Source organism: Homo sapiens, chromosome 2 (genome assembly GCF_000001405.40).
Source record: "Homo sapiens chromosome 2, GRCh38.p14 Primary Assembly".
NCBI classification, from domain to species: Eukaryota; Metazoa; Chordata; class Mammalia; order Primates; family Hominidae; genus Homo; species Homo sapiens.
This window is the reverse complement of record NC_000002.12, coordinates 161,703,955-161,726,486: the sequence shown is the minus strand read 5'-3', so window position 1 is coordinate 161,726,486 and position 22,532 is coordinate 161,703,955. Positions and strand designations below refer to the sequence as shown.

The 22,532-nt window shown below is 35.8% G+C and overlaps 1 protein-coding gene across 25 annotated transcripts in view; it reads right to left on the bottom strand.

The window, feature by feature from the left end:
* Window positions 1-22,532, bottom strand: part of SLC4A10 (solute carrier family 4 member 10) — a 360,855-nt gene that overhangs the window by 258,784 nt on the left and 79,539 nt on the right. For 6 of the 25 annotated variants that reach the window (NM_001354441.2, NM_001354442.2, XM_005246694.4 and 3 more), the window contains exon 2: window positions 17,658-17,793. The exons of 12 other annotated variants lie outside the window; for them this stretch is intronic. In NM_001354441.2, the coding sequence (NP_001341370.1) occupies window positions 17,658-17,738 (81 nt within the window). In that variant the 5' untranslated portion in view covers window positions 17,739-17,793. Of the gene's footprint in view, window positions 1-15,735; window positions 15,870-16,598; window positions 16,726-17,657; window positions 17,794-22,532 lie in introns of those variants that run through there. 7 more of the 25 variants (NM_001354461.2, NM_001354447.2, NM_001354460.2 and 4 more) reach the window with 5 other exon arrangements.

The following is a 22,532-nucleotide window of genomic DNA, read 5'->3' as shown; positions in this document are numbered from 1 at the left end:
CTGCTTACAAAATTTCGTCAATTTTTTCCCTCTAACATTCTCCCCACATTCATTTAGTTTTGGGGGAGAGGAGCGGTTTAGAAAATTCCCTTAGTTGTCTTTTTAACAGGACTTCTGGAGATAGGAAAAGTAGCTGTGTATGTTGTATTAGCTAGTTTTACCTAAAGCCTCCTCATTTTACTTCATTTTTAATTCTACTATGTTTTCAGAGTAAGTAGCCAAAATAATACTTATTTGTATCCCTATTATTTGATAGTTACTCTTACTATTATTATTCATTGTAATTGTTATTTTTCTAATCTCCACTTCACAGTAAACAACCCCTCAATGAGCTTCAGAAATCTCCTTTTTGTTGCCCTAAAGCATTTTTAAATATTCTTAAATCTATAAAACATAATCTATTGAGACATCATTAATAGATGATACTTACTAATCATTTAACATGTGCCAGAATCTGTACTAGGTAATGAGAATACTGAATTAAAAGACACACTTGCTTTCTAAGATTTCACATTCTAAGGGAGAAGACGTGCAAGTATGTGTGCTTTTAAATGTTATACATGGTAAATATTATGCCAGAAGTAGGTTTAGTATTCTAAGGGATATATAAATGAGAACCTAATCCCACTAACTTATGCTAAAACCAACAATTAAAGGACAAAAAGGATCAGGGTGAATAGGGTATTCCAGACAGATGGCACGGCTTTGGCAAAAGGATGGCAGTATCCATTAAGCCAATACATTAGGAAAATTGATTTCAAAGGTTATAAATCCCCACTTTTTAAAATTTGACTGAGTTTTTTCTTTAGACATCTCAAATGATTACACCACCCGGGTGAGAAGAGCATAAATCTAGTATTTTTACTGTAATTTTTTTGTAGGAGAAAATTAAGATACAGGCAAGCCAATAGGAGAGCTAGAACTAGAACTGAAATTTTGGTTTTCTGACTGTTATCTGAATGGTTAATCATTGAATAATTCTGACTTTGCATTCTGAAACTGTTAGTTCCTTAGCTGTCTTACTTTTTTCAGTGTTGCATATAATTACAGTAATAGCTAACATTCATCATAAGGCTTACAATGTGCCAGAAACAATGCTAAAACTTTGCATACATTATCTCCTTAAAAATCTTTAAAACAGATGAGTATTCTGAGACTTAAAGAGGTGAAAAAAGTTTCCCAGGACCACTCAGCTACAAAAAGTGGAAAGAGTTTGAAGACAGGTCAATGCTTCTAGTCAATGTGCCATACTACAAAGGTAATATATTAGTTAAATGTAAAATCTAAAATTCCTCAATTTCACTTTAAAGCACCTCAGAGTCTGGCCCAGCCATACTTACATACCTCAGCCAATATGAATTCCTACTAGTGTTCAAAGCGATTTAGGCCATATTTGCTCATGAACATTTCATTCTCATTCTTCATTTTCTTATTCAACAAAAAATTTAGTAAGCAGTAACTATGTGCCAAGCACCATATAAGTTATGGCTTTAAAGAAATAAAAGATGTGTATTTAATGCCTTTGCCCTTAAACAGTTCACAGTTAAGAAAGAATAAAATCAATGACTCTAATAATGCATATATGGTGCTTCAACTAAGGTAAATCCTGGAATCCAGAAAAACATTAGAAGAAAACAACTAAGAATTAGTTGTTTCAGTGATGTGGGAATGTTTCAAAAGGAAGTGCTACTTAATGTAAATAAATCCTAAGGAATAAGAAAAGGTCAGCAAGACAAAAACAAACATAAATGAGGGGGCAATGGCATTAAAGACAGAAGGGACCACATTTTAAGAGGCTTGAGAGAGTCTGCCTCTTTCTATCTAAACAGTAGAATTTAAGACTAAATTTAACTAAAGATGACTGTTTAAAAATCACTACTTCAGAGAAGCTTTTCTTGACAACCCCCAGATTTGGTAAATTGCCTGTTTCAGATTCCCATAGCACGCTGCACTAAAGATTATATCTATCTTGTTCACACTGCTCCCCCAGCATTTAAGAAATAATAGATGTTCACAAAGTACCTGTTCAGCAAATGAATAAGTGGTGAATAAACATGTGACGAAACTACCAATGCCTCAGTATAGATGAAGTGATTGAAGGGTATATTTGGGATGTGGCAGGAGATGACCAATAAGCACTAAGTGCCTTTATGCCATGAAAATAACTCTAAAAATTATCTTGAAAGTAATGGTGAGCCTTTCAATGAGTTTAAGTAGGCAAACCCCTGATTCTGGTTTACATTTTAGAAGGAGTACTCTGGCAGCTCAGAAGTGAGTGAATTGGTTTTTGGATGGTTGAGGTGAGGGGAAGAAAAAGACCAGTTAAGAAATGGTTACAATAGTCCAGGTGAAGAGAAAGAAAAGAACGGGCAGATTTTGAACTCCTTCAGAGAAAGAATCTACCTAACTTGCTGATTAATTGGTTTTGAGGTTGCGATAAGGAAGTTGAGGATGATTGTCAGGTTGTCATGCTATGAAAGACAAAAACATTTTGAAGAGAATATAGTGTATTTAGTTTGATACATATCAAGTTTGAGATATTTATAAGACAAATGAGCAGAGATGTCTACCAGGATGCAATGTCTACAACACTAAACAGAGGTTAAGGTATAGATTTCAGCTATAGATATGGAAGTCATCAGTATGTAAAGCAGCAATTCTCAACATTGTCTGCTAATTATATTTACTTGGAATGTTTTTTGAAAATATTCAAGCCTGGGTTCTATCTCCATAGATTTTATTTAGTGCTTCTGAAATAAATTTGGGGATTCAATGTTATTAAATCCTACGTATTTGATTCTGATGCATAGTCACTATTAAGAGCCACCAACAGTCGATTTAAATCATGGATATAGATCAGATTTGTTTTTTGCAAACAGTAGGCTGCACACCTTGAGGAAGATTGAGACAAAATTATCAGAAAGATTATGATAATAATAACTGCAATTTATTGAGAAGCTATGCCAGGAACTGTGCGTATATTATTTCTAGTGGAAACGAAACCAGAAGGAAGTACAATGAAACCAATGAAAGTCAAGTCACAGAGAACAAAAACAAGTGAATCCTGCACCTTCAACTGAAGTATCCAGGCTCCCCTATTGAGACTGACTAGGCAGTTGGCGTGACCCACGGAGAGCGAGAAAAAGCAGGGTAGAGTGACAGCCAACCCATGAGCCACACAGAGCAAAGGAAGCTCCCACCCCCAGCCAAGGGAGGAGGTGAGTGATTGTAGTACCTGCCTGGTAAACCACACTTTTCCCATGGATCTGTGAAACCTGAAGATCAGGAGATCCCCTCATGAACCCATGCCACTAGTGCCTTGGGACCCAAGCACAGGGCTGTGAGGACTCTCGGCAGGCTCAGGTTGTGACCACGGGCAGCAGGCTGGAGAGTGCCTAAGACGAACTGAGGGAAAGGGACAGCCTCCATCACTGCAGCATCAGTCAGCCGCTTTCCCCTACCAGTGCTAGGGATACTGAGTAGTTTGGACCTGGAGGAATTCCCTACAGTGCAGTCCAGCAGCTGCGGCAGATTGTGGCCAGACTGCTTCTTTAGGTCGGATTTGGATCCATCCCTCCTCACCAGGCAGGGCATCCCTGTGAGAATTTCAGCAACTCCATCCAGGCGTTTACAGAGAGAAATCTGATCTCCCTGGGATGGAGGCCCTGTGGGGAGGAGAGGACGCAGTCTTGTGGGTTCAGTGGACTTAGTCTTTCCTGTCTGCTGGCTCTGAAGAGTGCAGGCAGACCAGACAAAGGGGATTTTCCCCAGAGCAGTGCACCAGCTCTGCCAAGGGGTAGCCAGAGTGCTTCGTTAAGTGAGTCCCTGATCCCATGCCTCTTGACTTGGGGAGACCCCCCAAAAGGGGTCACCAGACACCTTGTACAGGAGCATTCTGGCCAGCATCAGGTTGGTGCTCCTCTGGGACAGAGCTCCCATCTTTGCTGTTCTGCAGCCTCCACTGGTGACACCTCCAAGTGTGGAAGGGATTTAGGTAAATAAGATCTGGAGAGGACCCCCAGCAAACCACAGCAGCCCTGTGGAAGAGAGGCCTAACTGTTAAAAGAAAAGCAAACAAACAGAAAACAACAAAACAGCAACATCAACAGAAAAGAACCCCACAAAAACCCCATCCAAAGGTCAGCAGCCCCAAAGGTCAAAGGTAGATAAGCTCATGAAGATGAGAAAGAACCAATGCAAACATTCTGAAAACTCAAAAAGCCAGAGTGCCTCTCTCCTCCAAATGATCACAACGTCTCTCCAGCAAGAGCATAGAACCGGGCTGAGGGTGAGATGGATGAACTGACAAAAGTAGGCTGCAGAAGGTGAGTAATAACAAATTTCACCAAGCTAAAGGAGTACGTTCTAACCCAATGCAAAGAAGTGAAGAACCATGATAAAACAGGAGCTGTTAACCAGAATAAACAGTTTAGAGAGGAACGTAAATGACCTGATGGAGGTGAAAACACAACAGAATAACTTCACAATGCAACCACAACTATCAATAGCTGAATAGACCAAATGGAGAAAAGAATCTCAGAGCTTGAAGACTATCTTGCTGAAGTAAGACAGGCGACAAGATTAGAGAAAGAAGAATGAAAAGGAACAAACAAAACATCCAAGAACTATAAGGATTATGTAAAAAGACCAAACTATGACGGATTGGGGTACCTGAAAGAGATGGAAAGAATGGAACCAAATTGGAAAACATACTTCAGGATATCATCCGAGGGAAATTCCCCAACCTAGCAAGACAGGCCAACATTCAAATTCAGGAAATCCAGAGAACCCCCGTAAGATAATCCGTGAGTAGATCAACCCCAAGACATATAGTCATCAGATTCTCCAAGGTAGAAATGAAGGAAAAAATGTTAAGGGCAGCCAGAGAGAAAAGCCAGGTCACCTACAAAGGGAAGTCCATCAGACTAACAGCAAACATCTCAGTGGAAACCCTATAAGCCAGCAGAGACTGGGGGCCAATATTCAACAGTCTTAAAGAAAAGAATTTCTAACCCAAAATTTCATATCTGGCTAAACCACGCTTCATAAGTGAAGGAGAAATAGAACCCTTTTCAGACACGCAAATACTGAGGGAATTTGTCACCACCTGGCCTGCCTGCCTTGTAAGAGCTCCTGAGAAAAGCACTAAATATGAAAGGGAAAATCATTAGCAGCCACTACAAAAACACACTGAAGTACACAGACCAATGACTCTATGAAGCAACTACACTAACAAATCTACAAAATAACTAGCTAGCATCATGATGACAGGATCAAATTCACACATAAAGATATTATTCTTCAATTAAATGGGCTAAATGCCCAAATCAAAAGACACAGAATGGTAAGCTGGATAAAGAGTCAAGGCCCTGGCTCATGCCTGTAATCCAAGCACTTTGGGAGGCCGAGGTGGGTGGATCACCTGAGGACAGGAGTTCAAGACCAGCCTGATCAACATGGTGAAACCCCATCTCTGCTAAAACTACAAAAATTAGCTGGGCGTGGTGTCACATGCCTGTAATCCCAGCTACTTGGGAGGCTGAGGCAGGAGAATTACTTGAACCTGGGGGCAGAGGTTGCAGTGACCAAGATCATGCCACTGTACTCCAGCCTGGGTGACAGAGCAAGACTCTGCATCAAGAAAAAAAAGAAAAAAAAAAAAGAGTCAAGACTCATTGGCGTGCTGTATTCAAGAAATCCATCTCACATGCAAAGATACAGATAGGCTCAAAATAAAGGGATGGAGGAAAATTTACCAAGCAAATGGAAAGCAGAAAAAAGCAGGAGTTGAAATCCTAGTTTCTGACAAAAGAGACTTTAAACCAACAAAGATCGAAAAAGACAAAGAAGGGCATTATATAATGGTAAAGGGTTCAATTCAACAAGAGGAGCTAACTGTCCTAATTATATATGCTCCCAATACAGGAGCACCCAGATTCATAAAACACATTCTTGGAGACCTATGAAGAGACTTAGACTCCCACACAATAACAGTGGGAGATACAAGGTAATTTATAGATTCAATGCCATCCCCATCAAGCTACCAATGACTTTCTTCACAGAATTGGAAAAAAACTACTTTAAAGTTCATATGGAACCAAAAAAGAACCCACATCACCAAGTCAATCCTAAGCCAAAAGAACAAAGCTGGAGGCATCACGCTACCTGACTTCAAACTATACTACAAGGCTACAGTAACCAAAACAGCATGGTACTGGTACCAAAACAGAGATATAGATCAATGGAACAGAACAGAGCCCTCAGAAATAACACTGCATATCTACAACTATCTGATCTTTGACAAACTTGAGAAAAACAAGCAATGGGGAAAGGATTCCCTATTTAATAAATGGTGCTGGGAAAACGGGCTAGCCATATGTAGAAAGTTGAAACTGGATCCCTTCCTTACACCTTATACAAAAATTAATTCAAGATGGATTAAAGACTTAAATGTTAGACCTAAAACCATAAAAACCCTAGAAGAAAACCTAGGCATTACCATTCAGGACATATGCATGGGCAAGGACTTCATGTCTAAAACACCAAACGCAATGGCAACAAAAGCCAAAATTGACAAATGGGATCTAATTAAACTAAAGAGCTTCTGCACAGCAAAAGAAACTACCATCAGAGTGAACAGGCAACCTACAAAATGGGAGAAAATTTTCGCAACCTACTCATCTGACAAAGGGCTAATATCCAGAATCTACAATGAACTCAAATTTACAAGAAAAAAACAACCCCATCAAAAAGTGGGCCAAGGATATGAACAGACATTTCTCAAAAGAAGACATTTATGCAGCCAACAGACACATAAAAAAATGCTCATCATCACTGGTCATCAGAGAAATGCAAATCAAAACCACAATGAGATACCATCTCACACCAGTTAGAATGGCAATCATTAAAAAGTCAGGAAACAACAGGTGCTGGAGAGGATGTAGAGAAATAGGAACACTTTTACACTGTTGGTGGGACTGTAAACTAGTTCAACCATTGTGGAAGTCAGTGCGGCGATTCCTCAGGGATCTAGAACTAGAAATACCATTTGACCCAGCCATCCCATTACTGAGTATACCCAAAGGACTATAAATCATGCTGCTATAAAGACACATGCACATGTATGTTTATTGTGGCTCTATTCACAATAGCAAAGACTTGGAACCAACCCAAATGTCCAACAATGATAGACTGGATTAAGAAAATGTGGCACATATACACCATGGAATACTATGCAGCCATAAAAAATGATGAGTTCATGTCCTTTGTAGGGACATGGATGAAGCTGGAAACCATCATTCTCAGCAACCTATCACAAGGAGAGAAAACCAAACACTGCACGTTCTCACTCATAGGTGGGAACTGAACAATGAGAACACATGGACACAAGAAGGGGAACATCACACTCTGGGGACTGTTGTGGGGTGAGGGGAGGGGGGAAGGATAGCATTAGGAGATATAACTAATGCTAAATGACGAGTTAATGGGTGCAGCACACCAGCATGGCACATGTATACATATGTAACTATCCTGCACATTGTGCACATGTACCCTAAAACTTAAAGTATAATAATAAAAAAAACAGTGGGAGATAATAACACCCTGCTGTCAATATTAGACTCATCATCACGACAGAAAATCAACAAAGGACTTGAAGTCAGCTCTGCATCAAGTGAACTTGATAGTTATCTACAGATCTTTCCACCCAAAAACAACAGAATATACATTCTTCTCAGCACTACATGGTGCCTACTCTAAAACTGATCACATAAGTGGAAGTAAAACACTCTTCAGCAAATGCAAAAGAACTGAAATCACAACAGTCTCTCAGACCATGGCACAATCAAATTAGAATTCAAAATTAAGAAACTCACTCAAAACTACACAACTACATGGAAATTGAACAACCCACTCCTGAATGACTTCTGGGTGAATAAAATAATTAAGGCAAAAATCAGGAAGTTCTTTGAAACTAATGAGAACAAAGAGAGCATACCAGAATCTCTGGGACACAGCTAAAGCAGTGTTAAGAGGGAAATTTATAGCACTAAATGCTGCCATCAAAATGCTAGCAATATCTCAAACCCACATCCTAACATCACAACTGAAAGAACTATTTACAGAGAACCAAGAGCAAACAAACCCCAAAGCTAGCAGAAGACAAGAAATAAGCAAGATCAGAGCAGAACTGAAGGAGAGAGACACACAAAAAAACCCTTCAAAAAATCAACGAATCCAGGAGGTGATTTTTTTAAAAAATTAATAAAATAGCTAGACCACTAGCTAGACTAATAAAGAAGAAAAAAGAGAAAAATCAAATAGACACAGTAAAAATGATAAAGGGGATATCACAGAAATACAAACAACCATCAGAGAATACTATAAACACCTCTATGCAAACAAACTAGAAAATCTAGGAGAAATGGATAAATTCCTGGACACATACACCCTCCTCACACTGACCCACAAAGAAGTTGATTCCCTGAAGAATAATCAATAACCAATAACCAATAACAAGTTCTGAAATTGAGGCAGTAAAAATAGCCTCCCAAACAAAACAGCCCAGGACCAGATGAATTTACAGCTGAATTCTACCAGAGGTACAAAGAGGAGTTGGTACCATTTCTTCTGAAACTATTCCAAACAATTGGAAAGGAGGGACTCCTCTGTAAACCATTTTATGAGGCCAGCGTCATCCTCACACCAAAACCTGGGAGAGATATAACAAATAAAGAAAACTTCAGGCCAATATCCCTGATGAATATCAATGCAAAAATCTTCAAGAAAATGCTGGCAAAATGAATCCAGCAGCACATCAAAAAGCTTATCCATCGCAATCAAGTCTACTTCATCCCTGGGATGCAAGGGTGGTTCAGCGTATGCAAATCAATATACATAATTCACCACATGAACAGAACTAAAGAAAAAAGCCACGTGATTATCTCATTAGATGCAGAAGAAGGACTTTGATAAAGTTCAACATCCCTTCGTCTTAAAAACTCTAAATAAACTAGGTTTGAAGGAACATACCTCAAAATAATAAAAGCCATTTATGACAAACTCACAGCCAATATCATACTGCATGGGCAAAAGCTGGAAGCATTCCCCTTGAAAACTGGCACAAGACAAGGATGCTCTCTCACCACTCCTATTCAAATAGTATTGGAAGTTCTGGCCAGGGCAATCAGGCAAAGAGAAATAAATAAAGCGTATTCAAATAGAAAGAGAAGAAATCAAATTGTCTTTGCCCATGACATGATCCCATACCTAGAAAACCCCATCATCTCAGCCCAAAAGCTTCTTAAGCAGATAAGCAACTTCAGCAAAATCTCAGGATAAAAAATCAACATGCAAAAATCACAGGTATTCCTATACACCAACAACAGACAAGCATAAAGCCAAATCATGAATGAACTCCCATTCACAATTGCTACAAAGAGAATAAAATACCTAGAATACAGCTAACAAGGAATGTGAAGGACCTCTTCAAGGAGAACTACAAACCACTGCTCAAGGAAATCAGAGATGACTCAAACAAATCGAAAAACAATCCACACTCATGGATAAGAAGAATCAACATCATGAAAATGGCCATACTGCCCAAAGTAATTTATAGATTCAATGATTAAACTACCAATGACATTCTTCACAGAATTAGAAAAAAAATTTTAAAATTCATATGGAACCAGAAAAGAGCTGGTATAGTCAAGACAATCCTAAGGAAAAAAGAATAAAGCTGGCAACATCACCCTACCCAACTTCAAACTGTACTACAAGGCTACAGTAACCAAAGCAGCATGGTATTGGTACAAAAACAGACACATAGACCAATGGAACAGAATAGAGAACTCAGAAATAAGACCATACATTTACAATTGTCTGATCTTCAACAAACCTGACAAAAACAAGCAATGGAGAAAGGATTCCCTATTTAATAAATAGTGCAGAAAATTGAAAATGGACCTTTTCCTTACATCTTTTACAAAAATTAACTCAAGATGGAGTAAAGACTTAAATGTAAAACCCAAAATTATAAAAACCCTAGAAGAAAATCTAGGCAATACCATTCAGGACATAGGCACGGGCAAAGATTTCATGACAAAAATATCAAAAGCAATTGCAACAAAAGCAAAAATTTACAAATGGGATCTAATTAAACTAAAGAACTTCTGCACAGCAAAAGAAACTATCATCAGAGAAAACAGACAACCTACAGAATGGGAGATTTTTGCAATCCATCCATCTGGCACAGGCCTAGTATCCAGACTCTACAAGGAACATAAACAAATTTACAAGAAAAAAAAAAAACCCATCAAAAAGTGGGCAAAGGACATGAACAGACACTTCTCAAAAGAAGATATATAAGCAGCCAAAAAACATATTTAGAGAAAGCTTAATATTGCTGATTATTAGAGAAATTCAAATTAAAACCACAATAAGATACCATCTCATGCCAGTCAGAATGGTGATTATTAAGAAGTCAAGAAACAACAGATGCTAGCGAGGCTGTGGAGAAACAGAAACACTTTTACATTTTTGGTGGGAATGTAAATTAGTTCAAACATTGTAGAAAACAGTGTGGCAATTCCTCAAAGACCTGCAACCAGAAATACCATTTGACCCTATTACTGGGTATACACTCAAAGGAATATAAATCATTCTATTATAAAGATACATGCGTGCGTATATTCATTGCAGCACTATTAACAATATCAAAGGCATGGAATCAACCCAAATGCCCATCAATGATAGGCTGGATAAAGAAAATGTGGTACATAGACACCCTGGAATACTATGTGGCCATAGAAAGGAATTAGATCATGTCTTTTACAGGGATATGGATGGAGCTGGAAGCCATTATCATCTGCAAACTAACGCAGGAACAGAAAACCAAATACCACATGTTCTCACTGGGAGCTGAAAGATGAGAACACATGGACACAGGCAGGGGAAAAACACACACTGGGGTCTGCTGAGGGGTGTGTGAGAAGAGGGAGAGCATAAGGAAAAATAGCTAATGCATGCTGGGCTTAATACCTAGGTGATGGGTTGATAGGTGCAGCAAACCACCTTGGCACACATTTACCTATGTAACAGACCTGCGTATCCTGCACATGTATCCCAGAACTTAAAATCAAATAAAAGTCACAATTCTTCCATTAAGTCTTTCACAGTAGTTTCAGTTTACCTTCATGTCTTTAGTCTCAATTTGGCATTTAGAATATGCTAATTTATACATGGCTATCTAATTCAGGTGTTTATACTCTAAACAGTATGAAACAGTAGTTAAGGCCAACAGCTGTAGAGCTAGACTTTCTGGGTTTGAAACTCAAATTGTCCTATCCTTTGCAGGCAATTTTGATCTTGGGCAAACTACTAAATTTCTTTTTCAGTATACTATATATACTTAAGGTAGAATGTATACGTATGTATAGACATACATACATACTAAAATTGTGTTTACATAGGATGTACAGTATGTGTGTGTACATATATGCATATTTGTGTGTATACACACAAATATACACATACATATTTGTAGCATTTACCTAGTTCAGTGGGGATAATTATAATAACCAAAAGCTAGGCACTGTATCAAACACTCTAGGCACTGTTTGAAGTATTAATTTATTATTTTATTTGATTTTCATTACAACTCTAGAGATTAACGTATTAGTGTCCTCATTTCACAGATGAAAACACTGAAGAAAAGAGAGATTAAGTAACTTCCTAAGATAAAAATTGCCAGTAAAGTGGAAGATATGGGATCATAACACAGGAGTCCCGCTCTGGAGCCCTAGCTCCTTGCTACTGTGGTATACAGCTTTCCTCCATGTTATACAGTAGCCTCAATAAATTCTTATGAGATTAAATTGAATTTGGGGAAAAAGATGAGTAGGGATAATGATATACATTTACACGCCACACATCATAATATGCTTCACTGGAACCAGTCTCTGTTGCCTTTTAGAAAGAGTAGTTTCATGGAGGAATATTGAATTCTCCCTTAACTTATTCTTCTTATTAATCTTCCCATATTGCCATTTTTAAAAGTCTTAAGGTGAAGAAAGGGTCCTTTTCCTCTAAATGCCTTCTATTTGCTTTTTGAGAAAGAAAACCATGTTTAAATGCTTAAACATTTTTAGAACAACTTGAAGCCCAATGATATTCAAGGTTTCTTTCAGAAATGGGACTATGATTCTAAGACAAGCACTGAAAATTTGTTGGGTTCCTACCAGGTGAATGGCTCTTTCCTAGGCAATGTGAAGTTGCAAAGATTAATAAGTACAACTTCACAGGAACTTCTAGAAAATACGACTTTCAAATAATGTAGATTTATACAGGAAGTACAGAGCATTCTCAGTTATATGAGTCTCCTATTGTTCTAAAAATAGAGTCAGATGAGCACCTGTGTCTGGTTTTATTTTAACTCTCCCTGTAGAATTCCAGGAGTTTTACTTCTGACATACTTTTTATGGATCATTTATACTGAGAGTAATAAGTTCCAATTTTTTCACAATTACCATGTACAAATGACGTCTTCCTGCATCTGATACCAAAAGTCACATCCCAGCTGTCACATCTAAAGGAAATCTGCTCTTGGAAGGTATCCAGCTTTTTTACTAACCTCATGCAATACTAAAATGCCTCTGGTGTATGGAGTAGAAGAAGGCGATATTAAAAGTATTTGCAAACATGGTTTACTTTATGATTTTTAAATGAACAGAGAACAAAGGTAAAATATTCAGCGACTTCCGTGATTCAAAATGGCAATTTTAATTTCCAATTTTCCCTAAGACAAAGTCCTTTTTATCCAACTATTCACCATAGTAACATGAGTATTCATTGTATTAAAATGATCCCACTAGATTGTCCTTGCTTTAGGAAATGTCAAAAACAAAGCCAAAGCTAAATCAGATTACGTACCAATAAAATGGAGTTTACATCACGGACAAGCAGGAGGTCTCTTAGGATCTGAAATCTAGGACTTTTGAGTGCTTGTGGATAGACTGAGAAATGCTCTCATGTGCAATTTTGATAGAAAATTTTATTAAAATCCTTCAGTTTGTTTCTACCCCCTACCTTGTCTACTAACTACTAAATCTACTCAGGAATTTAATTTTCATTCTCAAAGTCTCAAGAGGGTTAGAGCTCTGAAAATGACTTCAAAATATAGGTACTGCTCTTTTGTTTTTTTTATTTTATTTTTTCCAGGAATACGTACATCAGCAAAGAAATGTTCTCAGTTTAGAAATCATAGTCTAGCATTCAAGATTCTACACTTATCTGGTCCCAACAAACCTTTCCTGTGGTAAGTCTAAGTTATCCCACTAGGCTATAGCCAAAATGAACTATTCTATTATTTGCTTTCTGCCTCCCTACCTTTAATGATGTTGTTTCCTCTGCCTGAAATGACCTTTTCTCTCTATGTTGGCCAGTCTTCAAGACTACCTCATGGCATTCACTACTTTCATATTCTGCCATAGTTACTTGTATTTTGTAGTTACAACCCATTACCTGTGACCTCCTGAAGGCAGAGACCTACAGACTTTTATATCCTTGCCCAGTACAATTCTTTCTAGAACATTGTAGGATTTTGTATATTTGTTTTTAAAAATTGCATTATTCTGAGATTCAACTGACTCTGCCAATTTGGGGGAAACAGCAGCACACTGAGGAAATTTCTTCAGAGAAGAGAAGTGAAATTCAGAGATGTAATAAAATGCCATATTTAAGCATGTAAATTTAATCCAAATATCATATTACTCACTTCTCTTTGAAGTTTATTGAGAATTTTAAGCAGATAAATGTTTTTACATTAAATAATCACCAGCAATTCAAAATATTATACTCTATCAAATGGGAACTTGAATTGTTCTACTTATATATGTAGCATTCTATTTATAATATATTTCATTTAGTGTTTCATCTAGAATAAAAATGCCAAGAAATAAAATTATTAAAAACAAGTTGTGTTTGACTTTCGGTAAAATTTTTTGTCTTGGACATTTTTGATGACTAAGTATCACTAAATCTATGCTAGGTAAATTTGCCCCTATTATTTTTTTTAAGCCTTTAAAGAAAGGCTTTTTTTTACCCCTTAATTTTAGTCTTAAACAATAAACAAGAAAGACCTTAAGTTGCTGTTAAATTTTCCCAAAGTCCTAGTAATCTTTCAGTCATGAATAAAGTAGTTGGTGTAATACAGAGAAGCAAAGAATCTGCACACATAGAATTCTAAGAGAGTTTGGATCAGCCTAGCAGGTAGATGTAAAGTTTAAACACAAAATCTTTCATCAAGTCACAATTCTTATTGTCAGTAAATGTTAGAATTGAATCAGATATAGCATGTTGTTCTTTGTTTGCATTTTTATAACTATATTTCAGTGTAGCATATATTTTTGGCTGAATTTCTTATTTGATAAAGAGATTAAGGGAGAGGGAACAAAACTAAACTGCATGATGACTGTTACAAAGTCTTGCCAATAGCCCATCCAACCTCTTAGAATGTCTATAACAAAGTCTGTCGACAAAGGATGTTGACAATAATATGTTTGATATATGTCAGGTACTCTTATAAGTGTTTCACATACATTAACTCACTTAATGTTTACCACAACTCTTTGAGGTAGGTGCCATTATTATCCCTATATTACACATCAGGAAACAAGCCAAGATCATGCAGCCAGTAAGTAGCATAGCTAAGATTTGAACCCAGAGAACATGGCAGTCCAGACACTGAACCATTGCACAAGCCTCTTACTGCAGCCAGCCATTACAAACCAGAAGAATTTGCAAATCAATTTTCTATTGCTCTAATACAAGGAAACAGGCACTTTGGAGGCACTATCAGGCAGCGTGTTCCAGTTTGGGATTCTGGGGAAACAAGGGCTTTGCATCTTCTCCACCCACCTTCCTGCAACTTTCAGCAAACATATTGGAATGAAAGAGAAGAGAGTAATGCCTGACTGTTCACCAAGCAGCAGCTAAGGTCCACTTCCATAATTAGTTGGTCCTGATCCGCTTTCTCAGAACCTGAGGTAAATCCTATTCCCCCATTTTATTCAAAGGACTCTCCAAATGACCTAGTTAGTAACAGACACTTCCATACTTGCTACTCTTTATTTCCAAGTTTTATCCCTATAAAGTCAAAACCCCTTCCATAATACTTAATTACCCACACTGAGCCTGGAATTAGACAGGATTGATCAAGTCTCTATGTTGAGCTGACACTTCTGCCTCCTGCCAGTGGACTGGGTGCACCTTCAGTCTCATACTGACAATGATGGCTTATACAACATGCAAAGCTATTTTGCTATTTTACTGATTCACAGTTTATAAAGCCCTATACGAGAAACTATGCACTCTAAAAGTCTTTAATGCAATTTTCAATAAAGTTATGGGATGCATAATGATACAGTTTGACCTAAGCCTTCATTTATCTAATATCAAGAAATTTACATGAGGAAAAAAGGTTACATGTAACTCCTTCTAGGATTCATCAGCTTATAGATTAAGTTAAAACTGATTGTAGCATACTGCCTATCAAAAATCAATTCAAAATGTGAACACAATTTATTGTATATATTTTCTAATCTCCTTGAAAGCAGGAAATGACTTTTTCTTTTCTGCATTCCTCATAACACCAAATACATACAGTATCATCCAATGCTCAGCCTTTACTATGTTTACTGAATTGAAGAATTACTCAAATAGTTTTTATAGGCAGCTTACCTTTAAAACCTTTATGATGTATAATGAAATGCATGTAAAATAGTATAAACGAAGGCAGCCTTTGTAAGGAAGATGACCAATCATTACTGGGCAAGTTTACAATCAGTTTTATCATTCCAAAGATCAAGATTATCCTGCCATGCAAGAAGAAAGATTGACATTGCATTTAACTACATTCTAACCAGTCTTTGCTTTTTATTGTAGTATATTTTGAAATAGTAATAGAGAAAAATTTCTCTGATTTGTGACAGAAATGACAATTCTAAAATAGTAATTTTTTTCCACCTTACAAAATTATCGATATCCTCATTTAAATGCCACTAACAGAAAGTAACTAAAAATCTTTACAGTTTGGTTCTCTTGAAAGGTCAGGAATACAGTGAAAAATAGCAGAATGCTGTGAAACCAATACCAAGAGGAATCCCAAAGCAATGCCAAGAAACAGAATGTACTCATAATGACTAATACATGCAAATACTGGAAATAAATTCTAACAGATTAGACATATTTTGTTGCAATTAAAAGGTATATTCAAATCATTTCAAAATTAATCAAGCTTAAGAATATGCCAATCTTCCCTACTAATAAGAATATAAGCTGGCTAAGTAGCCTGAATAACATATAAATTATAGTCAATATCAGTAGGCAGAATGTGTTTTTAATTAAAAAGGAGAAACCCCTTAACTGAATCAATTCATTGTTTCAGACTTCCTTAAATATATTCATTTTTTTAATCTATGTCATTTCACCCTGATAAGGCATTAAATTACAATCAGGCTACAGAATCATAAAGACAAAACCATCTTGCTGTTGAGAACTGCTGCAATATATTTCTCTCTTTTTGATCATTTAATATGGAGTACCTGAAAAGTTCTCTAACATTGAGGCAGAAGCATGTACAATATTTTGAAAAATGAAATATATTTCCTTCAAAATCTGAATGTCAAATATAGGTAGTTTCTTATCCAAGTATATAATTCTGAGGACATGCTGTAACAAATCAAAGTTAAATGCATTATATATAACTTGATGGGTGAAAATAGTTTAAAATAAATGGCAGAGTTTCAGTACAAAATGGACATCGAAATCCAAATCATTTGCATGTTTAACATAGTCAAGTATTTTCAGTTTGAAAATGAAAGTAAGCAAAGGACGAAGCTCTCTGGGTCAAAAAATCTTCAACAAGCTTAAATGTCACAAGCTTTCTTTGTGAAAAACAGATTTATAGTCTCCTTTCTTCTATGAACAATACGTTAGTATATATCTACCTTAAAAGCACCAAGAGCATCAATATTTCAATAGATCTGAGAAATGATTAAAACCAGTGTCTTTACAACAGTTCAGATAATGCAACATAAATTTCAGGAAATTAGTTTATAGGTCAGATGCTGACAAAGATGATTCTATTCACCAAACTTCCTTTGCTATGTAGCACACTACAATGGTAGCAGCATCAGTTTCTATGGTTAAGAAATTCCAAATAATAAAAATATTTGCAATATATCAGTATCTGTAAGCAGCTAGCTACGATGTATCCTTATCAGTTTGATCGATTTATACTATTTTTATCACTTGAAGTAAAATATAAAGATTGACTCTATTCAGGCTTAATCTGGAAAAATCTGAAGTGCCCCAAACCTTGCTTTTAATCACATTCAAAGAATCTCTTCCTTTACCGCCCTCTCCCCCAAAAAGCTAAAGTAAACACAAATTTAAACACATACACACACACAGGCACACACATACACACACATTTCTAATAATCATATTGTTTAGCTGCCATAAATCTTACTTGTTCAAATATCCTAAGGAAAGTCTGACAATAAACAATTACATTAATGAATATATTTTCAATGAGTAAGAACTAGAAAAAGCAAGCACCCTACATTCTAATATTATCATCATAATTCATGAGGTCATACCTGATGACTTAGAGATTGAAAAGGCTCACAGGTTCCAGACTGCATGACCTTTCTATTTCCAGAAACCCCTAAAGACTGCATTTCCTGTCTTACAAAAGATAATCACAGCCATCTCTATGTCTCAGCATCTTCAGGGCTAGTGAAAAAAATATCAAACAACAGATCTGTCCATCAGTATCTGTTTAAGCCATCATCAAGATATCAAATCACATATACTATTTATCATCTCCCCTGTGCAGTTACAAACACCCCATACTAAGAGAGACTGACACAGTTGTATTTGCTGATGCTGTCTGAAAACTGTAAGCTTACTGCTTAGAGCAATTCTGCATCATCGAAACAGAGAATGAGCCACATCCTTCAGATTTCCCATTTCTGATACTATGAAGACTTCATTTGCCAAGGAGAGTTGAATTTTTTCAGTCCTTTAAAAATAAGCAGTTTTCCATTTAATTAAGTATCCAATGTGTCTGTTGCAAATACCATGTTAAAATGTCAACTCTTAATTATTAGGCAGCTTTCTCTATATGTGACTAAGCTTTAGGCTTTATGACTTACCAAGCAAAATTATACTCTCTTAAAGGAATTTTCCCTCCAAACTCTGAATATCATCACTTATCCACCCATCAAAATGATGAGTGCCTAAAAAGGATTTTTATTTTGGCAATCTTTGATAGTTGTATAAATAGTAAATAGGTAAATACATATTCACCCTTTAATTTTCAGGAATTTCATTTATGTTTCAGATTCTTCATACCAACATACATTTTATATTTTTATTTACTTTCTTCTTCTAAAAAGTTTAACATGCAAAAGATTTACCAAGCAAAATTGTACTCTCTTGAAGGAATCTTCCTTCCAAACTATGGGTATCACGACTTATCCACCCATCAAAATGATGAGCGCCTATACAGGATTTTTATTTTGGCAATCTTTGATAGTTGTGTAAATAGTAAATAGGTAAATACATATTCACCTTTTAATTTTCAGGGATTTCATTTATGTTTCAGATTCTTCATACCAACATACATTTTATCTTTTTATTTAATATCTTCTTCTAAAGAATTTACATGCAAAAGATAATGTGGTATTATCAAATGCTAAAACTGCACGGTTAAGTCTAGTAATGAAACCTATGTAAGTTGTTGGCATTTTTACTATGGATTTTCACTGTGTCTTATTTATTAAAGTTTGAGTACTGTTTTCTTTTACCACAACATAGCAGAATCAGGGAACTTTAAGATTGATAAAGTGTTCTAATATAGAATCAATATCTCAAAAATTATAATTGGAAATGCTTTCTCTTTACCGTGTGACAAAAGGTTGTGTTTTATAACTAAAGAAAACACAAACCAAAAAAAAAAAAGACTAAGATTATAGTCAATTCAACTACATTCAAAATTAAGACACCAAGTGCAACATATTATCCTGAAACAGCCCTCACATTATGAATAGCCTGAATTCACGACTCTATGAACACTTTATTTACCTGTGAATAGTTTCCCTTCTTTCACTCACAACATTTGATGGAGACTAGTCACAATGAGTCTTAAGAAACTGGGCTGATCCAAATTATACTTTTAGAAAAACTACTGACTCTAACTGCACAGGTTGGAGACACAGAGCTTGGTATTCTGCTGTATGTATACTATAACACATCTGAATGAAAAATCACATGTAAACAAATATTTCCATCTATGTAGTATTTACCCTCTTATTATAATCAAAATAGGTACTCATCCTTTAAGACCTATCTTCTCAATAAAGCCTTCCTAAGCTACATCGTCTCTCTTTCTATATTCATTCTTTCCTGTAGAAAATATTGAATATCTTCTATGTGTCAGGTACTATATAGGTGCTAGGGACTCCATAACAAACAACACAAAACCTGCCATCACAGAAAGCAGATAAATCAAACAAGCATGTTTTGTTATAACTGAAGAATTAAAAGTTGACATGAAAGCCGTAGCAAGGCATCCTACCCTAATCTAGGGATCAGAAAAGATTTCCTTAGGGAAGTACTGTTAAAACAGAAGATTCTGATCTAGTCACATTCAAGGAATGGCAAATACAACATAGGTTAGACCATAAAGTGTAAGAACAGAGGGAAGAGATGAGAAGTGAGGCCCAGTCACGGTAAGCGTCAGGAGCCATTTAAAGAGTGTGAGCTTTACCCTTAGGGAAATGAGAAACTGTCAGCATAATCAGGTTTAAAATATCCCGGCTACTCTATAGACAATCAATTGAGTAAAACAAAACTGGAGGACGGGAGACAAATCAGGAGAATGTTAAATAATTTCAATCAGGGGATGATGATGGCCTGAACCAAAGAAGTGGCAATAGGAATGAAGAGAAATGAATAGATCCAGATACACATCTTATTGAAAAAAGATAGAATTCAGGGATTGAATGTGAGAAATGAGGAAAAGCGAAACATCAAGCAAGGTTCATTCCTAATCTCCTATACTATTACATATCAAAGTTATTAAATGAATCAATAATGAAAAATAAGAAAATTGAACTTTTCCTTCAGGTATTTTGTCACAGCAAGAATACAAACACTGATATTTTTATCATTCTCTGGATGTTATTAATTAGTATATATAATCCCCAATTTCCTTCAGTGTTTTCTTGTAAGCACAATTGATCTTTGCAATAAAAACATGAAACCTGAGTGCAAAGCAGCTCTTAATCTCTCTATTATCTAGTTGATAAGATCTATTTAATCCAAAAAATTACTTAACATCTATTACTTGACCCTCTTAATAGTAATTTAACACAATTAATTACTAAAAACTATGATCTCCCATTTTTAGAAAACCATTGCTCTAAAACAAATTATTTACTCATACAGTATGTTACTCATACCAGTGTTATTAAGATATGGTCATAATAGTAAAGCAGAATGCCTCTAGACTTTAGGCCCTAATAAGCCTTAACAAATATTTGATAAAAGAAATGAAGAGTAGCCAAAACCTAGCAGAACACCCTTGGACTGAATGAAGAGAGAGCCAAAAGAGTGTATCTTAGTCCATTTGGGCTGCTATAACAAAATGCCACAACAACAAATATTTATTTCTCACAGCTCCCAAGGCTGAGAAGTCTCACTCTAACCTCACATGGAAGAAAAGGGGGCAAGGCAACTCTCTGGGGCCTCTTTTATAAGGGCACTAATTCAATTTATGAGGTCTCTGCCTTCATGGTCTAATCATCTCCCAAATGTCTCACCTAATGCCCTTATATTGGTGATTACATTTTCAACATATGAACTTTGGAGATGCAAGAACATTCAGACCACAGCAGAGTAAAAAGCGTACATTGAGGGTAACTCTATTTATTTGATGACTTGCTGCACATAAGAACATCTCAAATAATAAAAGATGAGCATCTTAAAAAGAGCAAGAACTTCTTTATAATAATTACTACTCATTTAGCTCTTGCTTTTCATCTCTAAGGGATCATGTGATCCAATGCACTTATTTTACAGATGGGGAAAACTAAAATCTAGGGAAGTTAAGTGACATACCCAAGGTCAGTTATTAGTAGGGCCAAGGTCAAAATTCCTTGGCCCTACTAATTCCTGTTTCCTAGTTTTCCCCAATATAAGTCACTGTTTGAAATTATATTTTTGTATAAATATACCATATCTTAGTAATTCAAATAGCATTCATTTTAATATTTTTAGGTTGAGAAACAGTAAAAAAACTATAAGAATCACAAGTTTTCTATATTAAAGTTTACTTTTATCATAAAGATTTTACCTTTTATTTGTATTCAAAAGTGACTTGCTTCAAATACCTCAGTAAATACAAGTAATTCATTTTGTTTTACATACTACTGCTTTAAAAAGTGTAAATTAGTTCATCTTCTCAAGATAACTTGGCAAAATGTATTGAGTCTTAAAAATGTTCAGTCGTTCATCTTAGTATTTCCTGTCTGAAGGCAATAGGGCAGATTAAGATTTATGCTCAAAGATGTTTAGTGCTACATTATTTAAAAGTAAAGAAAAAGTAGAAACAATAAGAGAAAGTTTAATTAAATTATGGAACACCAAAAGTGTAATGCCATGTAACCACTGAATATTAAGAACAAAAGATGTTAATGATAAAGGAAAATATATAGCATAATAGCATATTAAATGGAAAGCAAGATCCCAATATATTTGTGGGGTACAACCTCAACTATGTAAAACATACAACAAAAGAAATAGACAAAATGTCTGATTTTTTAAAGATGGCTCCCAATATGACTCATCTTATAAATATATACCTACAGACTTCATTGTTTTTCATAAAAATAGAAACTAGTTTCTTTGGAGTATTTCAATAGTTCAACAAATACCCCTGTTTCTCATGTGCTTCCTCTTTTTACTAAAAATTTTGCTTCAGATTTCAATATTTCTAATGTTGTACTCATATTTCTGGTCTAATTTCATAAAAAATGTTCAAATCTACTTTCATTGACTAAACTTTGAAAAAATCATTCCTTCTGTGCTTTGCATATTATTTATTATGTGCGTGTGTGATTGATTGTTTACTTTCACACTTTATTTATACTGGGCTAAAGCTAGTACAGACCGTTTTTGACAAATTAGCTCTCACAACAGTTTTAGTGCTATATGAAAAAACTGGAAAAAAATTGTATGACATAATTTTTGACACTATTTGTCTAACTAATCATTGTTAGTTAGATATGATCTTAAGCGATTTTCACTAACAGCAGGACAATAGAAAGCACTGAGAGTACTGCAGAATACCTACTTCTCTTTTTTTGAGAAGTGATGAAACTACCATATTTTCACATTTACAAGGAATATGGTTGAACTTGGGGGCATAGGTCACCACGTATGTATAATGTACAGCAAAGCTATTAGGA